This window comes from Homo sapiens, chromosome 11 (assembly GCF_000001405.40).
Source record: "Homo sapiens chromosome 11, GRCh38.p14 Primary Assembly".
In the NCBI taxonomy this organism is placed as follows: domain Eukaryota; kingdom Metazoa; phylum Chordata; class Mammalia; order Primates; family Hominidae; genus Homo; species Homo sapiens.
In genome coordinates this window covers 124133949-124150639 of record NC_000011.10, presented here as the reverse complement: position 1 = coordinate 124150639, position 16691 = coordinate 124133949, and the positions used below count along the sequence as shown (strand labels likewise).

The 16691-nt window shown below is 39.5% G+C and overlaps 1 protein-coding gene across 3 annotated transcripts in view; it reads right to left on the bottom strand.

The window, feature by feature from the left end:
- Nucleotides 1-2918: 2918 nt before the first annotated feature.
- The window catches only part of VWA5A (von Willebrand factor A domain containing 5A), a 32272-nt gene continuing 18499 nt past the window's right edge, over nt 2919-16691 (bottom strand). For all 3 annotated transcript variants that reach the window (XM_011542828.3, NM_001130142.2, NM_014622.5), the window contains 8 exons: nt 15606-15720; nt 14347-14511; nt 13966-14066; nt 13372-13625; nt 8899-9042; nt 8068-8198; nt 5277-5403; nt 2919-4774 (listed from right to left, as the gene is read on the bottom strand). In XM_011542828.3, coding sequence (XP_011541130.1) covers nt 4695-4774; nt 5277-5403; nt 8068-8198; nt 8899-9042; nt 13372-13625; nt 13966-14066; nt 14347-14511; nt 15606-15720 — 1117 coding nt within the window. In that variant the 3' untranslated portion in view covers nt 2919-4694. The remainder of the gene's footprint in view (nt 4775-5276; nt 5404-8067; nt 8199-8898; nt 9043-13371; nt 13626-13965; nt 14067-14346; nt 14512-15605; nt 15721-16691) is intronic.

The window sequence follows — 16691 nt, the reverse complement described above, 5'->3', positions numbered from 1 at the left end:
AGTCTCAGGTTTTCTTTTTATAGCAATGCAAGAATGGAATAATACAAAACTCATTTATCTGTACCCTTTAGAAACTGAGAACACAGGTAAATAGTCATTCTGAAATCCTGAGAGACAGGTGACTTCAGAGTCACTGCTGACATTTACAAACCTGGAAGAGAATCTTTGGGATGGAATATAGACAAATAGAAACTTCCTAAACTTAAATGTAAAGATAAAAACAAAAACCAAATAAAAAACAAACACACATTCACATGGCTATATAAAGAATCTCTGGAATGGAAGATAGACCAATAGAAACTTCCTAAACTTAAATGTAAAGATATAAACAAAAACAAAATAAAAAACAAACACATAGGAAAAACAGAGCAGAACATTCAAAACTTACAGGATAATTTCAAACAGTGTAACATGCAATTGAAATACAAGAAAAAACTAAGCAGAAAAATAGTTGAAGTTATAGCAAAAATTTTCCAAAATTAATGAAAAGCACAAAATTACAGATTCAGAATGTTCAAATAACACCAAAAGGATAAATACAAAAGGCCCTACATTTACAAATATAATATTCAAACTGCAGAAAACCAAAGACAAAGAGAAAATCCCAAAAGTCTGCGGGGCAGGAGGGGGAGAACACTTTACCTATAGAGGAAAAAGAATAACAGCATATTTCTTGCCAAAAACTATTCATGCTAAAAGAGATTGAAGTAAAATATTTAAAGTGTTAAAAGACAAGACGACTGGACGCAGTGGCTCATGCCTGTAATCCTAGCACTTTGGGAGGCCAAGGTAGGTGGATCACAAGGTCAGGAGATCGAGATCATTCTGGCTAACACAGTGAAACCCCGTCTCTACTAAAAATAAAAAAAATTAGCCAGGTGTGGTGGCATGTGCCTGTAGTCCCAGCTACTCGGGAGGCTGAGGCAGGAGAATCACTTGAACCCAGGAGGTGGAAGTTGCAGTGAGCCGAGATCACGCCATTGCACTCCAGCCTGGGTGACAGAGCGAGAATCTGTCTCAAAAAAAAATAGACACACACACACACACATACACACACACACACGGAGCTATAAGTTCAGCACAATTATGCTTCAAAAGTGAAGAAGAAATAAGGACTTTCCCAGACAAAAAGAAAAACTAAGGGAATCCATTGCCCACAGATCTGTTCTACAAGAAGTTTTAAGACAAATTCTTCCGGAAGAAGAAAAAGGATACAGGTAAGAAACTCAGATCTATGCAAAGAAAGGAAATGTCAGGAAGAAATAAATAAAAGTGAAATATGTATTTTCATTTTCTTATTAATCGATCTGAAAGATAACTGTTTAAAGTTATGATAGTAACAATTAGGTAGTTAAAATATAGACATAAGTGACATGAATGGCAGCAATGTCATAGTGGATGGGAAGGAATTAGGAATACTCTGTTATAAGGTAACTGCACTACATGTAAAGTGATATAGTGTAACTTGAAGGTGGGCTTAAATTAGTGATAAATGCATATTGCAAACCCCAGAGCTAAAACTAAAAAAATTCTTAAGAAATATGATGGATATATTGAGTGGAGATAAAATGAAATCACACAAAATGCCTGGTTAAAGTGAGAAAAGGCAAAAATGAAAAAATAAAAGAAAAAAATGCAATAAATAGTAAACAGTTGACAAACATGGTAGATATTAACCTAATTTTATCAATAATTACTCTAAATATAGATGATATGGGTCGATAATTTAAAAGTAGTGATTGCCAGAGTGGATTAAAAGCAAACAAAAACAAATAAATAAGACCCAACCACATGTTGTTTCCAAAAATCCACTTTAAATAAAAAGACTCATATAGGCTAAAAGTGAAGGGATGGAGAAAGATACACCCTGCCAAAACCAATCAGCAGAAAGCTGCAGTAGTTACGTAAATTTCAGACAAAGCCAACTTCAGAACAACAACAACAAAAATCAGGAATAAAGTTGAGCATTAAATAATGATAAAAGAGTCAATTTTCCAAGGATGTATGATAATTTTAAATGTATATGCACTTAGGAGAATATCAAAATATATGAGGTAAAAACTGATAAAATACACAGTTCACTGCATGGGTTTTTTTTTTTGGTTTTCTCCTGGTCAATCAGATACTCCAGAAAGCAGATGGACTGTTTTTAAGGAAGGAATTGCTGTGAGTTGGGAGAGGAAGAGCAGATGCTCAGTGACCCTGAGTGGGACTGTGTTAGAGTTGGGGAAGACGGAGGATGGATTTCATTAGTAAGTCTGTGTAGAACAGAGAACCCTCCAGGGGAGCTCCTGGCCTGTTTGAGTGGAAGAATCTTGAGGGAATGGTATCTGCCACTTTTCCTGTGGCCAAGTCTGCTGCTGTGGGGGAAACAAGCACTAGATAAAGGCAACTAATGGGAGATGAGAACAGCTTCTCTCCTGGGCTCCTTGCCTGGACCACCAGTTTCTGAAATTACAGATGGTTCTTTATACTTTCCCAAAACATAAAGCATCAGACTTGAAATGGGGTTTCAACAAATGTGCCAAAATGCCATTTGCTGATTATGAAGACTGACACTTGTTTAGATTCGAGGAATTTACAGTTGGCACAACATTTCACTGTGCAGGAGCCCAAATGGAAAAATAAAACCACGCCACTTTAAAACTGTAGTTGTCTTATTTTAAAGAGGTCAAAAGACAGGTTGATAATTTTTTTTTTGTTTCTTTTAGTTCGTTTAGTTTTTGTTTTAGAACGCCCCGCACTAAGTCCACAAGCCCCAGTCTGGAAGTTGAAGGGTGAGAAAAAAGGAGGTAAACGATAAGCGCTCCGCATAATAAATGTAAAGTCACAGCATTGTGTGCACAGAGGTTAACTATACAAGTTTCACGGTCCTTAAGAAACTATTTTCTGAAATTACATAGGTAGGGCCTATCTAGATGGCAGGCTTGGATATAAGCCTATTTCATGAAAATATTAAGCCTTTACTTTTCAAACTTCAATGTGCATGCATGATACCTGGGAGCCTTGTTAAATAAAGTAGTTCCTGGTATCGATTAAAATTCTGCATTTCTAAAAAGCTGCATTTCTAACAACCCTGTTCCGCAGATCACATTCAGCATAAACAAACTTGGAAGAAAGACTGAGAGATTAGAGTCCACTATGCAAGTCACACAAGTCTTCCTAATACCAGGTAACTCAACAACTTAAAGAAACTCAGGCCTAGTCCACCCACTTTCTGAGTGAAAAGTCACCGATGTTCCTCTAGGAATTCTGAGTGGAACTCGAAAGTGTTAATAAAGTTCTAGTTTAATCCCTTAGTTTTACAGATGAGGATATTAAGTGCCTGAGGGTGAAATCATTTGCCCATCATCACATAACTATTTAAGGGTATGGTCAGGATTCTACAGTGGTATTCTTATTAGTATCCTTTACTTGCTTCATATAAAAGAAGTCAGCCTACAACAGAAGATAGAGGGTCAGGATACCATGGGAACAGTGGAGGCATCAGAAAAGCTGGAACAGAAAACAAGGGACAATAAAACCAATGTAAGTTCAATAAATGAATCTATGGAGGAGTAGACCTCTTGCTAAGCTTTTTTTCCCTACTAAGTTTTATTTCACTAACTTCAGGTCAAATTTCCACAACTGTGTTCCGGTCAATTTACTATCCTAGTTTGGCTTCCCAAAGTGGCAGTACCAAAATATTGTGGGGTAGGGAGACGAGACCACTTTAAGAACCACTGCATTTACTCATCAAAGGGTAGAAATAGTCATTTTAATATTGATACAAGTTATTTTAAGGGACAGCATATCAAATAGGGTCATTTCCACCAGGATAGGGTATATGAGACACAAGGGTCAGGAACGATTACGGGGAGCTCCTTTCTTCCTAATGCGGTAAGTGCTCCAGGTTCAGGTCCCAGGCAAAGCTCCCATTAAGCCCACCCTTCCCTTTACTGCACTAGATCAGGGCCTGACTTAGAGGACACATAGGTTCAGGGTAGGACTAAGGATTGCATTATAGACTTCTTAAGGTGTTTCATGATTAAAGAGGAACATCTCTCTCCAACAGTTATAGTTCAACCCAAGTCTTTCAGGCAGTGGAAGAAAAGACATGTAGGTTGTACAGGCTAGCAAAGCCCAAGAAGAATGAATCAGGAAGGTCCCCAACAGTGTCACCTCTCACAGTGGACCCCTGCAGTCTCTGTCTTTGTGATCTTGACATTACATTGATCCAGATGTTGGCTTTCAACTTCCCTCTAACTCCTCCTACGCAAGCTTACCAGTATGGCCCTGATAAGTATATAAGATAGAAAGTGAACAGACAAAGATAATGCAGAAAATTCTCTAATTCAAGCATTCTCTAACATAAATGCTGCAATCTTTAGTCTGTAGTTCATGTCACCTGTTTTTCATGTTGTTTCCCTGGAAACCCTGGGAGGAACATTACTGCCTATGAATGTTTTGAACTCCCTCAAGAAAGGGAATAGGTTCTGGGACCACTGTCACTTTTCTGAGGGCATATGTTGGGAAAAGAAAGATCATATCCAAAGTGAACCTGGAGCAGAGAAGCGAAGTGGAGTAAGCATCCTTTACTTTTATGGCAAAAAATAAAGAGTTATAATACACAAGAACACATCATCACAGCAAAAGTGATACTAGAGGAAATGACAGTAGCAAATTAAAGGCACTTCTTTTTCTGGATGGTATCTTCAAAAGGCAAAGATAGCAGGATCCACAGATGACTTCAGGAAAGTAATAGCAGCTTTCACAACCGAAGGCATGGTGGAGCCTGTGGTGAGGAAAAACAAGAAGCAGGGATGAAGGATTGCAATTAGAGGCTCCTCCAAACCTCCCAGATCATCTACCCTGAGTTGTGCTTTTATCTGTCCTCAATATCCCTGCTTTTTCTTTTCTTGCTACCCAGATTCTCCTTGAATCTTCTCTGGCCCCAGATACACTCAGCTGCAGTGAGATAACAAACAGCCAGGAGAACACGCACCAAGTCTAGTCTTCTACTCAGCTTGGTACTGAGACAGTAAGGAGAATCAATGCCACTTGTCCTTCTCACAGTTCACACTCCCCATTTGTGTCCCTCTCCCTCCCTACTCACCCACCTACCTTGTCCCCAATTTAATATTTCACCCTTGTCCTCCCAAGAAAAGAACTAGCAGAAAGATTAGTAAAGATCTGAAGCAGGATGGTGGAGGCAGGTGACAATGGGACTCTCTTGTGGTCACCTTCCGCCAGGCCAGGGAAGGGGAAGGAGACAGGCCTTAGGATTGTGCTCCTACCTGCATGGGCACGCATCCAGGCCACGGCCTTCCTTTCCAGAAGCTCCCATTCACACTTCAAGTCCTTACCATTGCTGTGCAGCCAGATCACGGCCAGGATGGTGGCCCAGCCTGAGGAATCCACAAGCTGCACAGTAGATAGAGAGCTCCAGTTGGCACAGGAAGTCCCTCAAAAGGATGCAAAAAGCTTCACTCCCTCCTCACTTAGCATCCTTCTAAATGTCACTAGATGGAGTTACCTGGTCTCTCTTTACCTCCAGATACTACTTGCAAGGCATAATGCCAGGCCTTAAACCTCAGGGCAGCAATCCATTGAGTCTCGAAATAGAAAATCCTAAGTTTTAAATCCAGTGTAACCACCAGGACGGTTCTGGAAACCCCTAAGACAAGGCCAGCTCTAGTAAGAGAAACACAGGCAAAACTGCTTTATAGTTTATAAAGAACCTTCATAAGTTTTTTTTAATTGTAACCCTTATACCCCCCCACCAAAGAAATCATGAAAAAATATCAATAAACATTTTTAAGAAAGAAAACTGATTTCATATAGAAGTATTAACAAAATGATTTGCTCAAACTTAGCTGTCTAGCAAACGACAGAAGTGAGACTAAAGGCCAAATATTCTGACTCTAGTTATATTCTCTTATTTCTCAATAGAAAATCTCAGCCATGCAGCAGAAAATTGTCTCCCATGAGTTTTCGCTCACTGCTCCCAGCTTCAGCTTTCAGAGTCAGGAGATCAAGGGAAATTCCTATTTTATATCATGACTTTTAAAACTTGGAAATGGCTATCATGTCCTCTCTGAGTGGTCTTATTTCAGATTAGAATTCTCAATTCCTCCATTTCTTCCTTAAGAGGACTGCTTATGTCAAAGCAGTAAGCATCCCCACGCTTGTTCTCCTAGTCTAAAAACAAACAGCGTAATGATTTTAAAAATATATCTCCTTAAATGGTCTATCTGGAGGTAAATGTACTTATAGAATTCTACAATCACAGCCCATTTCAGGTAACCCTGTTGTCCTCCATTTCTTAGTTAAATATTCTGATTCACACAGTTGTAGTCATCTAAAACCTCTGATTTTCATGTGCAAATGCTCTCTTCTCTACCTGTAGAGTTGGGAATTTGGAACCCAAAACAGTACTTAGCTTTTATTCCTACTATGTTGTTTTTCTTTTTTTTTAATGAAAAGTTGCAACTCATTGTTCAGAGGTTTTTTGGGATCCTGATTCTTTTGACTGATAGTTTATCTCCCAGTTTTGTCATCTACAAATAGGAAAGTCTTGGTCTTTATCTTCATCTAAATCTTCATTGAAACTGTGGACCTCCAGAGAATTCAGAGCCTGGTGGGTCTAAAAATCTGTTTCATGTTTGAAATCAATTCATCATTCAGCGCCATAGGTTTTCAACTAATTTGTACTTGGTCCATGTTCTCATCATTAAAAAAAAAATCAAATTCCTTACTGAAATTCAGATATACCAGGTCTGTTGGTTCACTTGATTCATTGGCCTGGTTACCATTCCAAAGAAGGAAATGTCAGTCTGAAGTTTTTTGTTCCCAGTGCATCTAATAATCCCTGTATCCTCTTCCAAGTGTGTATGAATTATCATCTTAATTACTTTTCTAGAACAGCATTTTCCAATAAAAATATAATGCTAGAAACATATGTAATTTTAAATTTTCTGGTAGCCAAATTTTAAAAAGTAAAAGAGGTATAATTATTTTACTGATATATTTTATTTAACCCAATCTATTAAAAAGTCATCATTTTAACATGCAATCAATATAAAAATAATTATTGATGAAATGTTTTATTCCTTTTTATAAAAGTCTTTGCAATTAGTATGTATTTCCCACCATAGCACACCTCTATTGAATTAAAAATTCAGTTCCTCATTTGTATTAGCCACGTTTCAAAGGCACAATAGCCACATGTGACTAGTGGATACTGTATTGGACAGTGGAATTGCAGAATATCTGAAATTTATTTGATCTCCTTCCACATTTTGAAAGTTTAGAATGATATTTGTCCTTCAGGCTTTTTGCACCTGTCTCATGCCTAACAACTTCTCAATGAGCGTTAGAAGATTTTGTAAGTTACCTTGAAATTCTGGAATGCAATTTATCCTTATCAGCATATTTAAATACATCTGAAACAACTAGGTGGTTCCTAGTAACAACACTTTACCTATCCTGACTTCAGTTAACTTTTGCCAATGTCTGGACCACTTTCATCGGTATGAAGAGGAGCAATAATGAGGTTATTATTGGGGGTTCTCAAGACAGATACTCTTAGAACTGAATCTGGCTCTGCCACTGATGGGCTAGGTAAACTCAGACACATTTTTAGACCTCCCTGAACTTCAGTTTCTTCATCTATAAACAGCAACACAAATGGGATCTACCTTATTAAATTAATGTGTGAAATAAATAAGCTCATGAATATTAACTGCTTAGCACAGTGCTTGGCACAGAGTAATTGCTCACTAAGTATTAGTTACATAACCAAGATGATTGGCAGGGAATACGATTAAAGTGGAAGAGGATTTTTGCTTTCCCTTTGTCATCCACCAGCAAAAAAAACCCCATCAATTCCTACTAGCTTCCCCATTAATCCCTTGATCTTTCTGCTCTAACATGACTGGAAAAACCTTCAGCCTCTATTTATTACAAATTAATTTAGTCTATGACCCCCTATATTTTCCTTCCTCAGGTAGGTCCTGAATCACCTCAATTCTCAATGATGACCTCTCTCTCAAAAACATACATACTCCTTTTTCCATTGAATCTTACCTCGGCAGGCTGTGCAGCCATTATTTCTTCCAAACTCATACCTAGGATCTTGGCTAGATCTTCATTCAGATCCCAGGAACCATTTGCATTTTGGTGGTAAATCAGCTGCACAAGGTGATTCTCTCCAAAGCCTTTGAGGAGAAAGAAAAGAGAAGAATGAGAAATTGTGGAGCTATCGGCACCTCAGCACACTTGAATTTAGGGCTGCTAAATTCAGAGACAGGCCATAGCAAGAATGCAATAGAAAGAAAGTCATCAGACAACATCCAGAAGATCGGTCTTCAAACCCTACTTGTGAAAGGATGACCAGTGGAACAGGGGCTCACAGATGGTGGCAGCAGGGCTCTGCTGGGGGGCGAGGGCAGCCCGCAGGCAAGCTGTGTGAGCTGAGATGGCCAAGGGGGTTTGTTCGACTAGGGGTCACCCTAGACTCCACTGGGATAGCAGGTTTCAAGGTCCTATATGATATCCTAATGAACCTAGCTAGGCTGACCCTGGGAAACATAGGGGCGGAACAAATCTGACCTTCTGCCCAGTGCTTTTCAAACAGATGAACTCCTGGGTAAAGAAAGCCACAGGCAGCAGAACATTGAAGGCTAGTTTGTCAGTCCCTATAGATTGCAGGGGTGAACCGAGGCCTGCCTCATCTGCATGGTAAGTTTCCAGGCTGGTTCTGTGGGTGGAGGAATGAATCTTTTCCAATGCATGGGGGGTCCCTTCGAGAAACATGCATCTCTTGTCATAGCTGTAACTACAAGCTTTTAGCTTGCCTAGTCCTGTATATGTGACAGAAAAACATTGTTGAGAAAATGTTCCTATAAAGGTACTCACCTGGACTGTGCTGGTCCTTGTGACTTATCAACCCACAGAGACTGTAATCGTCCATCTGGAATGTCTTGGCCTTATAACACATAAGTTCCCCTCTGGGCTGAGATGCAGAAGGAGGACGGTCAGAGTGTAAGGCCTTTCGAAAACCTGAAAAAATCCAAACATTAAGACAGTGGCACTCCCTGCTCTCTGCAGTGGGCAAAGGACTGTGACAATTCAAGATACATACCCCCCCATCCACACTGGCTTCAGTCACCACCCTTACTGTGCTATTTTTCTCTCATATGCCCACCTCCTGCGCAAACCCTCACCCTCTGAGCTCTCCTTCTACTGTGTCCTCTGGAACCCCTGGCACATGCTAAACAATTTTTCCTGCATCTTTAGTTTTACTACAGGAGGCTTCTGCCAGCTAAGTCTCAACTTAAAACTGAATTTATCCTCCCAAAAAACTATTCTCCCTCCATCACTCTCAAATGGTTGTTGCTCAATGTACCACACTTCAAGTAGGGAGGTAGGGTTGGCAACCTCTTCAGTCCCTGATGCTGCATCCAGATCATTAAATGCGGTTTACCTTCCACATGTCGTCACTATTGTCTACTTCCAATCTCTTTGTTATTTCCGATCATTCATTAAAGTATCTGAAAACTAGACCATAGACTTCCACTCCATTAAAAGGCCTACCATCATCTTGAGATTTCATCACCCATGTAGATAGCCTATAAAATACCCTAATGCAAAGCTTCTTCAACTTCATCAAATCCAATGACTTCCACTTCATTCTACTTCTGCCACTTCCTCCCAAGCCATGAAGACCTTGTTATTATGCAGAATTGTTCCACTCATAGAAAATAAATTGAAGCTGGGCACAGAGATTCATGCCTGTAATCCTAACACTTCAGGAGGCTGAGGTGGGAAGATCACTTGAGCCTACAAACTTGCTACCAGCCTGGACAAAGTAGCAAGACCCCATCTTTATAAAAAGTTTTAAAAATTATCTGGGCACGGTGACATGTGCCTAGAGTCCCAGGCAGAAGGATCACGCAAGGCCAGAAGTTTGAGACCAGCCTAGGCAATGTAGTGAGACCTCATTTCTAAATAATATGAAAATTAAAAATTAGCCAGGCATGGTGGTGCATGTCTAGAGTCCTACCTACTCAGGAGGCTGAGGTGGGAGAATCACTTTAGCCCAAGAGATCGAGGCTGCAGTGAACTACAATCACACTACTGCACTCCAACCTGGGCAGCAGAGTGAGATCCTGACTCAAAAAAAAAAATTTAAAAATTCCTAGTTTTAAAATATAATATCTGATTTTTTCAGTTTTCTAAGTTAGAGATTTCTGTTTTACCTGATCTTTGACCTCATCTGGACTACTAAGTTCTTGACTTCTCTACTTTTTTTCCTATATGTCAGCTTGCTTCCATCAAGCTCTCTAGTGTTACCCTAAAAACAAGCTTCCTAGCATTACCCTGACACCAAAACCAGATACAACAACAAAAGTAAAGTTACAGGCCAATATCCTTGATTAACATAGATGCACAATCCTCAACAAAATATTAGCAAACCACATTCAGAAGTACGTTAAAATGATCATGCATCATTATCAAATGTGATTCATCCAAGAGATGAAAAGTTGGTTCAATAAACATAAATTGATAAACATGGATCACGCTAACATAAAAAAGGACAAAAACATGATCATTTCAATAGATGCAGAAAAAGTATTAAACAAATTCAACATCATGATAAAAACTCTCAACAAAATAGGTATAGATGTAAGGTACCTCAACATAATAAAGACAATTATGGCAAACTCACACCTAATATCATATTGAAGAGGGAAAAGTTGAAAGCATTTCCTCTAAAATCAGAAACAAGACAAGGATGCTGACTTTCACCACTTCTATTCAATATAGTACTGGAAGTCCTAGCCAGTGCAATTAGGCAAGAGAAATAAATAAAAAGAATCTAGATTGGAAAAGAGGAAGTTAAACTACACCTGTTTGCAGATGACATGATCTTAAACATAGAAAACCCTAAAGACTCTACCAAAAAAAAAACACCTGTTAAATAGAATAAACAAACTCAGCAAAGTTGAAGGACATAAAATCAACATACAAAAGTCATTAGTGTTTCTATACACAAACAGCAAGCTCTCTCAAACAGAAATCAAGAAAACAATCTCATTTGCAATGGCTACAAAATAATTAAAACATTTAGGAATAAATTTAACTGAGGAGGTAAAACATCTCTATACTGAAAATTGTAAGACATTGATGAAGGAAATTGAAGAAGACACAAATAAATGTAAAGATATCTCATGTTCTTGGATTGGAAGAATAAATATTGCTAAAATGGCCATAATACCCAAAGCAATTTACAGATTCAATGCAATACCTATGAAAATATCAAAGACAACCTTCACAGCATTAAAAAATCGTAAATTTGTATGGAATTATAAAAACATAGTCAAAGTAACCTTGAGAAAACACACACACACACACACACACACACACACACAAACAAAATGCTGGAGGCATCATACTATCTGACTTCAAAATATACTACAAAGCTATAGTAACCAAAACAGCATGGTACTTGCATAAAAACAGACACTGACCAATGCAACAGAAATGGAGAGCCCAGAAATAAATCCACACATTTACAGCCAACTAATTTTTGACAAAAGTGCTAAGAACACAATAGGTAAAAGACAGTCACTTTAATAAATGGCATTGGGAAAACTGGATACACACATATGAAAGAATAACATTAGACCCTTATCTCTCATCACATAGAAAAACCAACTCAAATGAACTAAAGGCTTAAGTGTAAGAGGTGAAACTGTGAAACAACTAGAAGAAAACATAAGGGAAAATATCTATGACATTGGTCTGGGCAATGATTTTTGGATATGACCTCACAAGCACAGGCTACAAAAGCAAAAAATAGATAAACGAGGTTACCTCTTGTGTATAGCAAAGAAAACAATCAACAGGGTGAAGAAACAACCTACGGAATGGGAGAAAATATTTGCAAACCAAACATCTGATAAGGGTTTAATATATACAAAGTACAGAAGGAATTTAACTCAAAACCAAGAAAGCAAATAACCTTATTTAAAAATGGACAAAAGACTTGAGTAGACACTTCTCAAAAGAAGACATACAAATGGCCAATAGGTATATGAAAAAATGTTCAGCATTACCAATCATCAGGAAATTGCAAATCAAAACCACGATGAGATATCACCTCATACCTGTCAGAATGGCTATCATCAAAAAGACAAAAGATAACAAGTACTGGTGAGGATATGGGGAAAAGGGAATGCTTGCACACCATGGTGAGAATGTAAATTAGTATAGCCATTGTGGAAAACTGTGGCTCCTTAAAATGTTAAAAATGGAGGTACTATATGATCCAGCAATCCCACTGCTGGATATATACCCAAAAGAAAAGAAATCAGTAATATCAAAGAGATATCAGCACTATTCACAATAGCCAAGTCATGGAATCAACCTAGGTATCCATCAGTGGATGAATGAATGATGAAAATGTACTATATATACACAATGTAACATTATTCAGCCATAAAAAAGAACAAAATTCTGTTATTTGCAACAACATAGATGAACTTGGAGAACATTATGTCAAGTGAAATAAGCCAGCCACAGCCTGGATAAAATGGCAAAACCCCATCTCTACGAAAAATACAAAAAAATTAGCTGGGCATGGTGGCATGCACCTGTAGTCCCAGCCACTCAGGAGGCTGAGGTGGGAGGATTGCTTGAGCCTGAGAGGTTGAGGCTGCAGTAAGCCATGATTGTGCCACTGCACTCCAGCCTCGGCAACAGAGTGAGACCCTGTCTCAAAAACAAAGAAGGAAAATAAGTCCAGAACAAATATATAAAGACAGGATAGGCAAATGTATAGAGATAGAAAGTAGGTAAGTGATTACTGGGACTGGTGGAGAGGGGAGTGGAGGAGAAGATAGGTGGGGTCAGGGAGAGAAATGGGAAATGTCTGTTAATAGTTATGAAGTTTATTTCTTAGGTGATGAAAATGCTCTAAAATTGATTGTGGCAATCAATGGTTGCACAACTCTGTGAACATACTAAAACCCATTGGACTGTACACTTTAAATGGGTGAATTGTATGATATTTGAATTATATCTCAATAAAAAAGATAAATCAGCTTCAGATTAGGCAGTTTGGTTACTCAGGGTTTACCTGCACTTTCTACATTTTAATGTTTGTTTTTTGTTTTCTCTTGGATTATTTTAAATCTCCTTGCCAATGGGATGCATTCTAGTTCCCTGGGACAGAAAAATTTAACACTAACCAGAAATCCTAGATGTGGAGGTATAAGGAAAACAAAGCAATTTGAGAACATTTCACAGCCCTTTCCTTTAAATAATGTGCTCAGATAGTCAGAATCTTTTATTCTATATGAGTTTGAATGGAATAAAACTCATTACCTGATTGGCATTTTATCTTCAATGGGGCAGAAGCACCCAACAGAATTGGCCTTGGGACGTCCCTATGAGCCAGAGGCCCCTGAACCGGCTTGTTGAGCTCCTTATTGATAGCAATGAAAGCTGTGAAGGAGCTTATGACACCAGACTCAAGGCTAAGGTTCAATGCATCTTTTTTATCACTTGCTGGAGTCTCCCTGAGGCCCATGTCCTTGGTCTGGAGCAAGGACTTGGCAGCAAGGCGGTGAATGGTGAGGCTGAAAGGAAAAAAAAAAAAGTACTGAAATGTAGGGAAAGACATCCATATACCAGTTTCTCAGGGCTCCTAAAAGTTAGGAATAGAAGAGTTAAGATAAAGTCAGATAAGGGGAGAGAGAAGACTTGGGTGGTTTAGAAATAAAAAATGATTGTAGGAAAACAATTACAATGGAGCCCAGAATTAAGAGAAGAAATCTAATCCCCAAAGATGGCAGAGGAAAGAAGGAAGGAAGGAGGGAGGGAGGGAGGGAGGGAGGGAGGGAATGAAGGAAGGAAGGAAGGAAGGAAGGAAGGAAGGAAGGAAGGAAGGAAGGAAGGAAGGGAAAACTGAATTCTCACTTGACATCAGGCTTGGGTTGTAGAGGAAATGTCACCTTATCCTCAAAAGTCTTGCCCTGGAGTGTATATTTGAGGCATACTTCTCCTGTTGTCTCTGCTGCCTGCAAATTAGAGATGAGTAGAAATGACGGAACATGTAATGTTCTGATCATCCATGGAAGGATCAGAACAGGGGCAGGTACCCAAAACAATGTATGAAAATATCTGATGAAGAATCAGGTAGCCTAGGAAACCGGAGACCTGAAATGATGGGAAGGAAGTAGGCTAGCTATACTTGGCAAGTGCCGTCTCTGGCTGAGATTGAAATCCACCTACCAGCTTTAGTGGAATGGTCATGTGGTAGCTCTTTGACTAGAGGAACAAATAAGAATGGGAACTCACTGGCATCCTCCCGGTCAGCTGGGCATAGCTGATTAATCTCTGACCCCTAAAGATGACAGTCTGTTCTGGGGAAAGCATTTTAGCAGACAGACCAGGAGGCAAATGCCAGCTCAGAGAGACATCCTCTACCACAGGCTGCAGAGAGCGTTTCAGAGTCCTGAGAGCCTAATGTGGGGAAGAGAACAGAATAAACACAAATGATACAGACAATGGCAGCTACAATTAACTGGACATTTATTATGTATCAGATGTGATACATAATACATGTCATGCCTACTCCTCAATACTATTCTAGGAGATGGGCTTTATATATGAAGAAGCTTTGCATATGAATAAGCCAAAGCTGAAATATTTAGTAACGTAAATGTAAATAAAGAAAATGTTTGAGTAACGAGACCCTTGGAGAAGGGGATTAGATAAAGGTGGCACCTACTGGGAAAGAGGAGCTTAGAAATACCACCAGAGGCCGGGCGCGGTGGCTCACGCCTGTAATCCCAGCACTTTGGGAGGCCGAGGCGGGCGGATCACGAGGTCAGGAGATCGAGACCATCCCGGCTAAAACGGTGAAACCCCGTCTCTACTAAAAATACAAAAAATTAGCCGGGCGTAGTGGCGGGCGCCTGTAGTCCCAGCTACTCAGGAGGCTGAGGCAGGAGAATGGCGTGAACCCGGGAGGCGGAGCTTGCAGTGAGCCGAGATCCCGCCACTGCACTCCAGCCTGGGCGACAGAGCGAGACTCCGTCTCAGAAAAAAAAAAAAAAAAAAAAAAAAGAAATACCACCAGAGGGGTCTTCTCCTTTTGCAGAAAGATGAAATGGAATAGCAATTTACTACCTCTTCCGATCCATTAGACATATCATGATTATTCCTTCTCCTTTTCTTTGTATCTTTTGCATGGAGGATGCATGTAGTACAAAAGAGGTTCTAAAGCGCAGACCTAGAATCTCAGTCTTGACAGTCAAAGCTCTTAGTTTGTCTGTGTCTGGTCTTAAATGCAAAGGCCCAGATCCCTGTCAGCATCTTGTCTCTGAGCTTGCAGCTACTGGGACCAGATGTCATATTTCCAGATACTACAGTGGGCTTCTATTACATGAGGCCAAAAGTAGCCTGACTAAGTATACAGCCTAAGGCCTTGGGGATATAGGAACAGGTATCCTGGAGGAAAGTTGCTACCCCTGCCCTTACACAGTGTTCCCCACCCCGTTCCACTTTGGTCTGGATTGCCACCTCCAGACAGACACAGTCAGTCTGTCCCTCACCTTGGACTGCATCCTGTCTTTGCCTGTGATAAATTCTGAGGTGCCCCCTGATGCCCGGGCAATACCTTTTATTAGGCTGGTGGAGGTGCCTTCTCCAATACCAAATGAGAAACACCTGCAATTGTAACAGGACAGAGGTTAGAGGAAGGCATTAAACAGTGAAAATATAAAATTAATACATAATGGCCAAAAATACATAAGGAAATAGTCTACTTTCTTGACCAAAAGTGTAACAGCTACCATTTACTGAGCATATTCTATATTTTAGGAGGTATAAAAATGCCTTAAATCAATGATGCAATTTAATCATCACAAGACCCCTAAAAGGCAGGCTTCTGCTTCACTTTGCAGATAAGAAATGGAGGCCCAGGAAATTTAAGAAATCTTTCCAAGATCATGCAACTACTAAATGATAGCAATGTCACTGGAGCACTGATCTGTCTTACTGCAAGATCTCTCTGGCAAACTAACAGAAAGATAGAAACTAACACCAGTTCCTACCTAATGATGTGCTGGTACCATATCTCCCCTAGCAAGACTATTCTTAGAGAAAGGAAGTGTGCCTCCTGCACTTCTAAATGGAGAGTTCTTGCCCTGCCTTAGTCCATGTGCACCAAGTAACTTCTTAAACATAATGCGATTTCCCAAATAGAATTATATATAAACAAAGAATACATTGGTAGTACTAGCACAGGCGCTTTTGGAAGGCATGACAGACAGAGTTTTCATTGTAAATTAATACCCTGCAATTTTGGTTTATGTATCAGTCTTTCTTAGTGTGAGCCATCATCCCCAAGTCTAGTGGCATCAGCATTAGGATCAATGCTCTACGCTTGTAAGACTCAGGAACAGACTTCTAACTGGACCTACGTGTAACAATACTTCCTAAATACTATAGCCTGACAGCATCTTGATATCACAACCTTTAAATTTCTAACATGATCTTTGAATTGTAGCCTATGTTATAAAGTGCTGTTATATTTTTAAGGTCTTTTGTATAAAATCAAAACTAAACAATATTGGCTGGGTGTGGTGGCTCACACTTTGGGAAGCCAGTGCCAGGAGTTCAAGAGCAGCCTAGGCAAC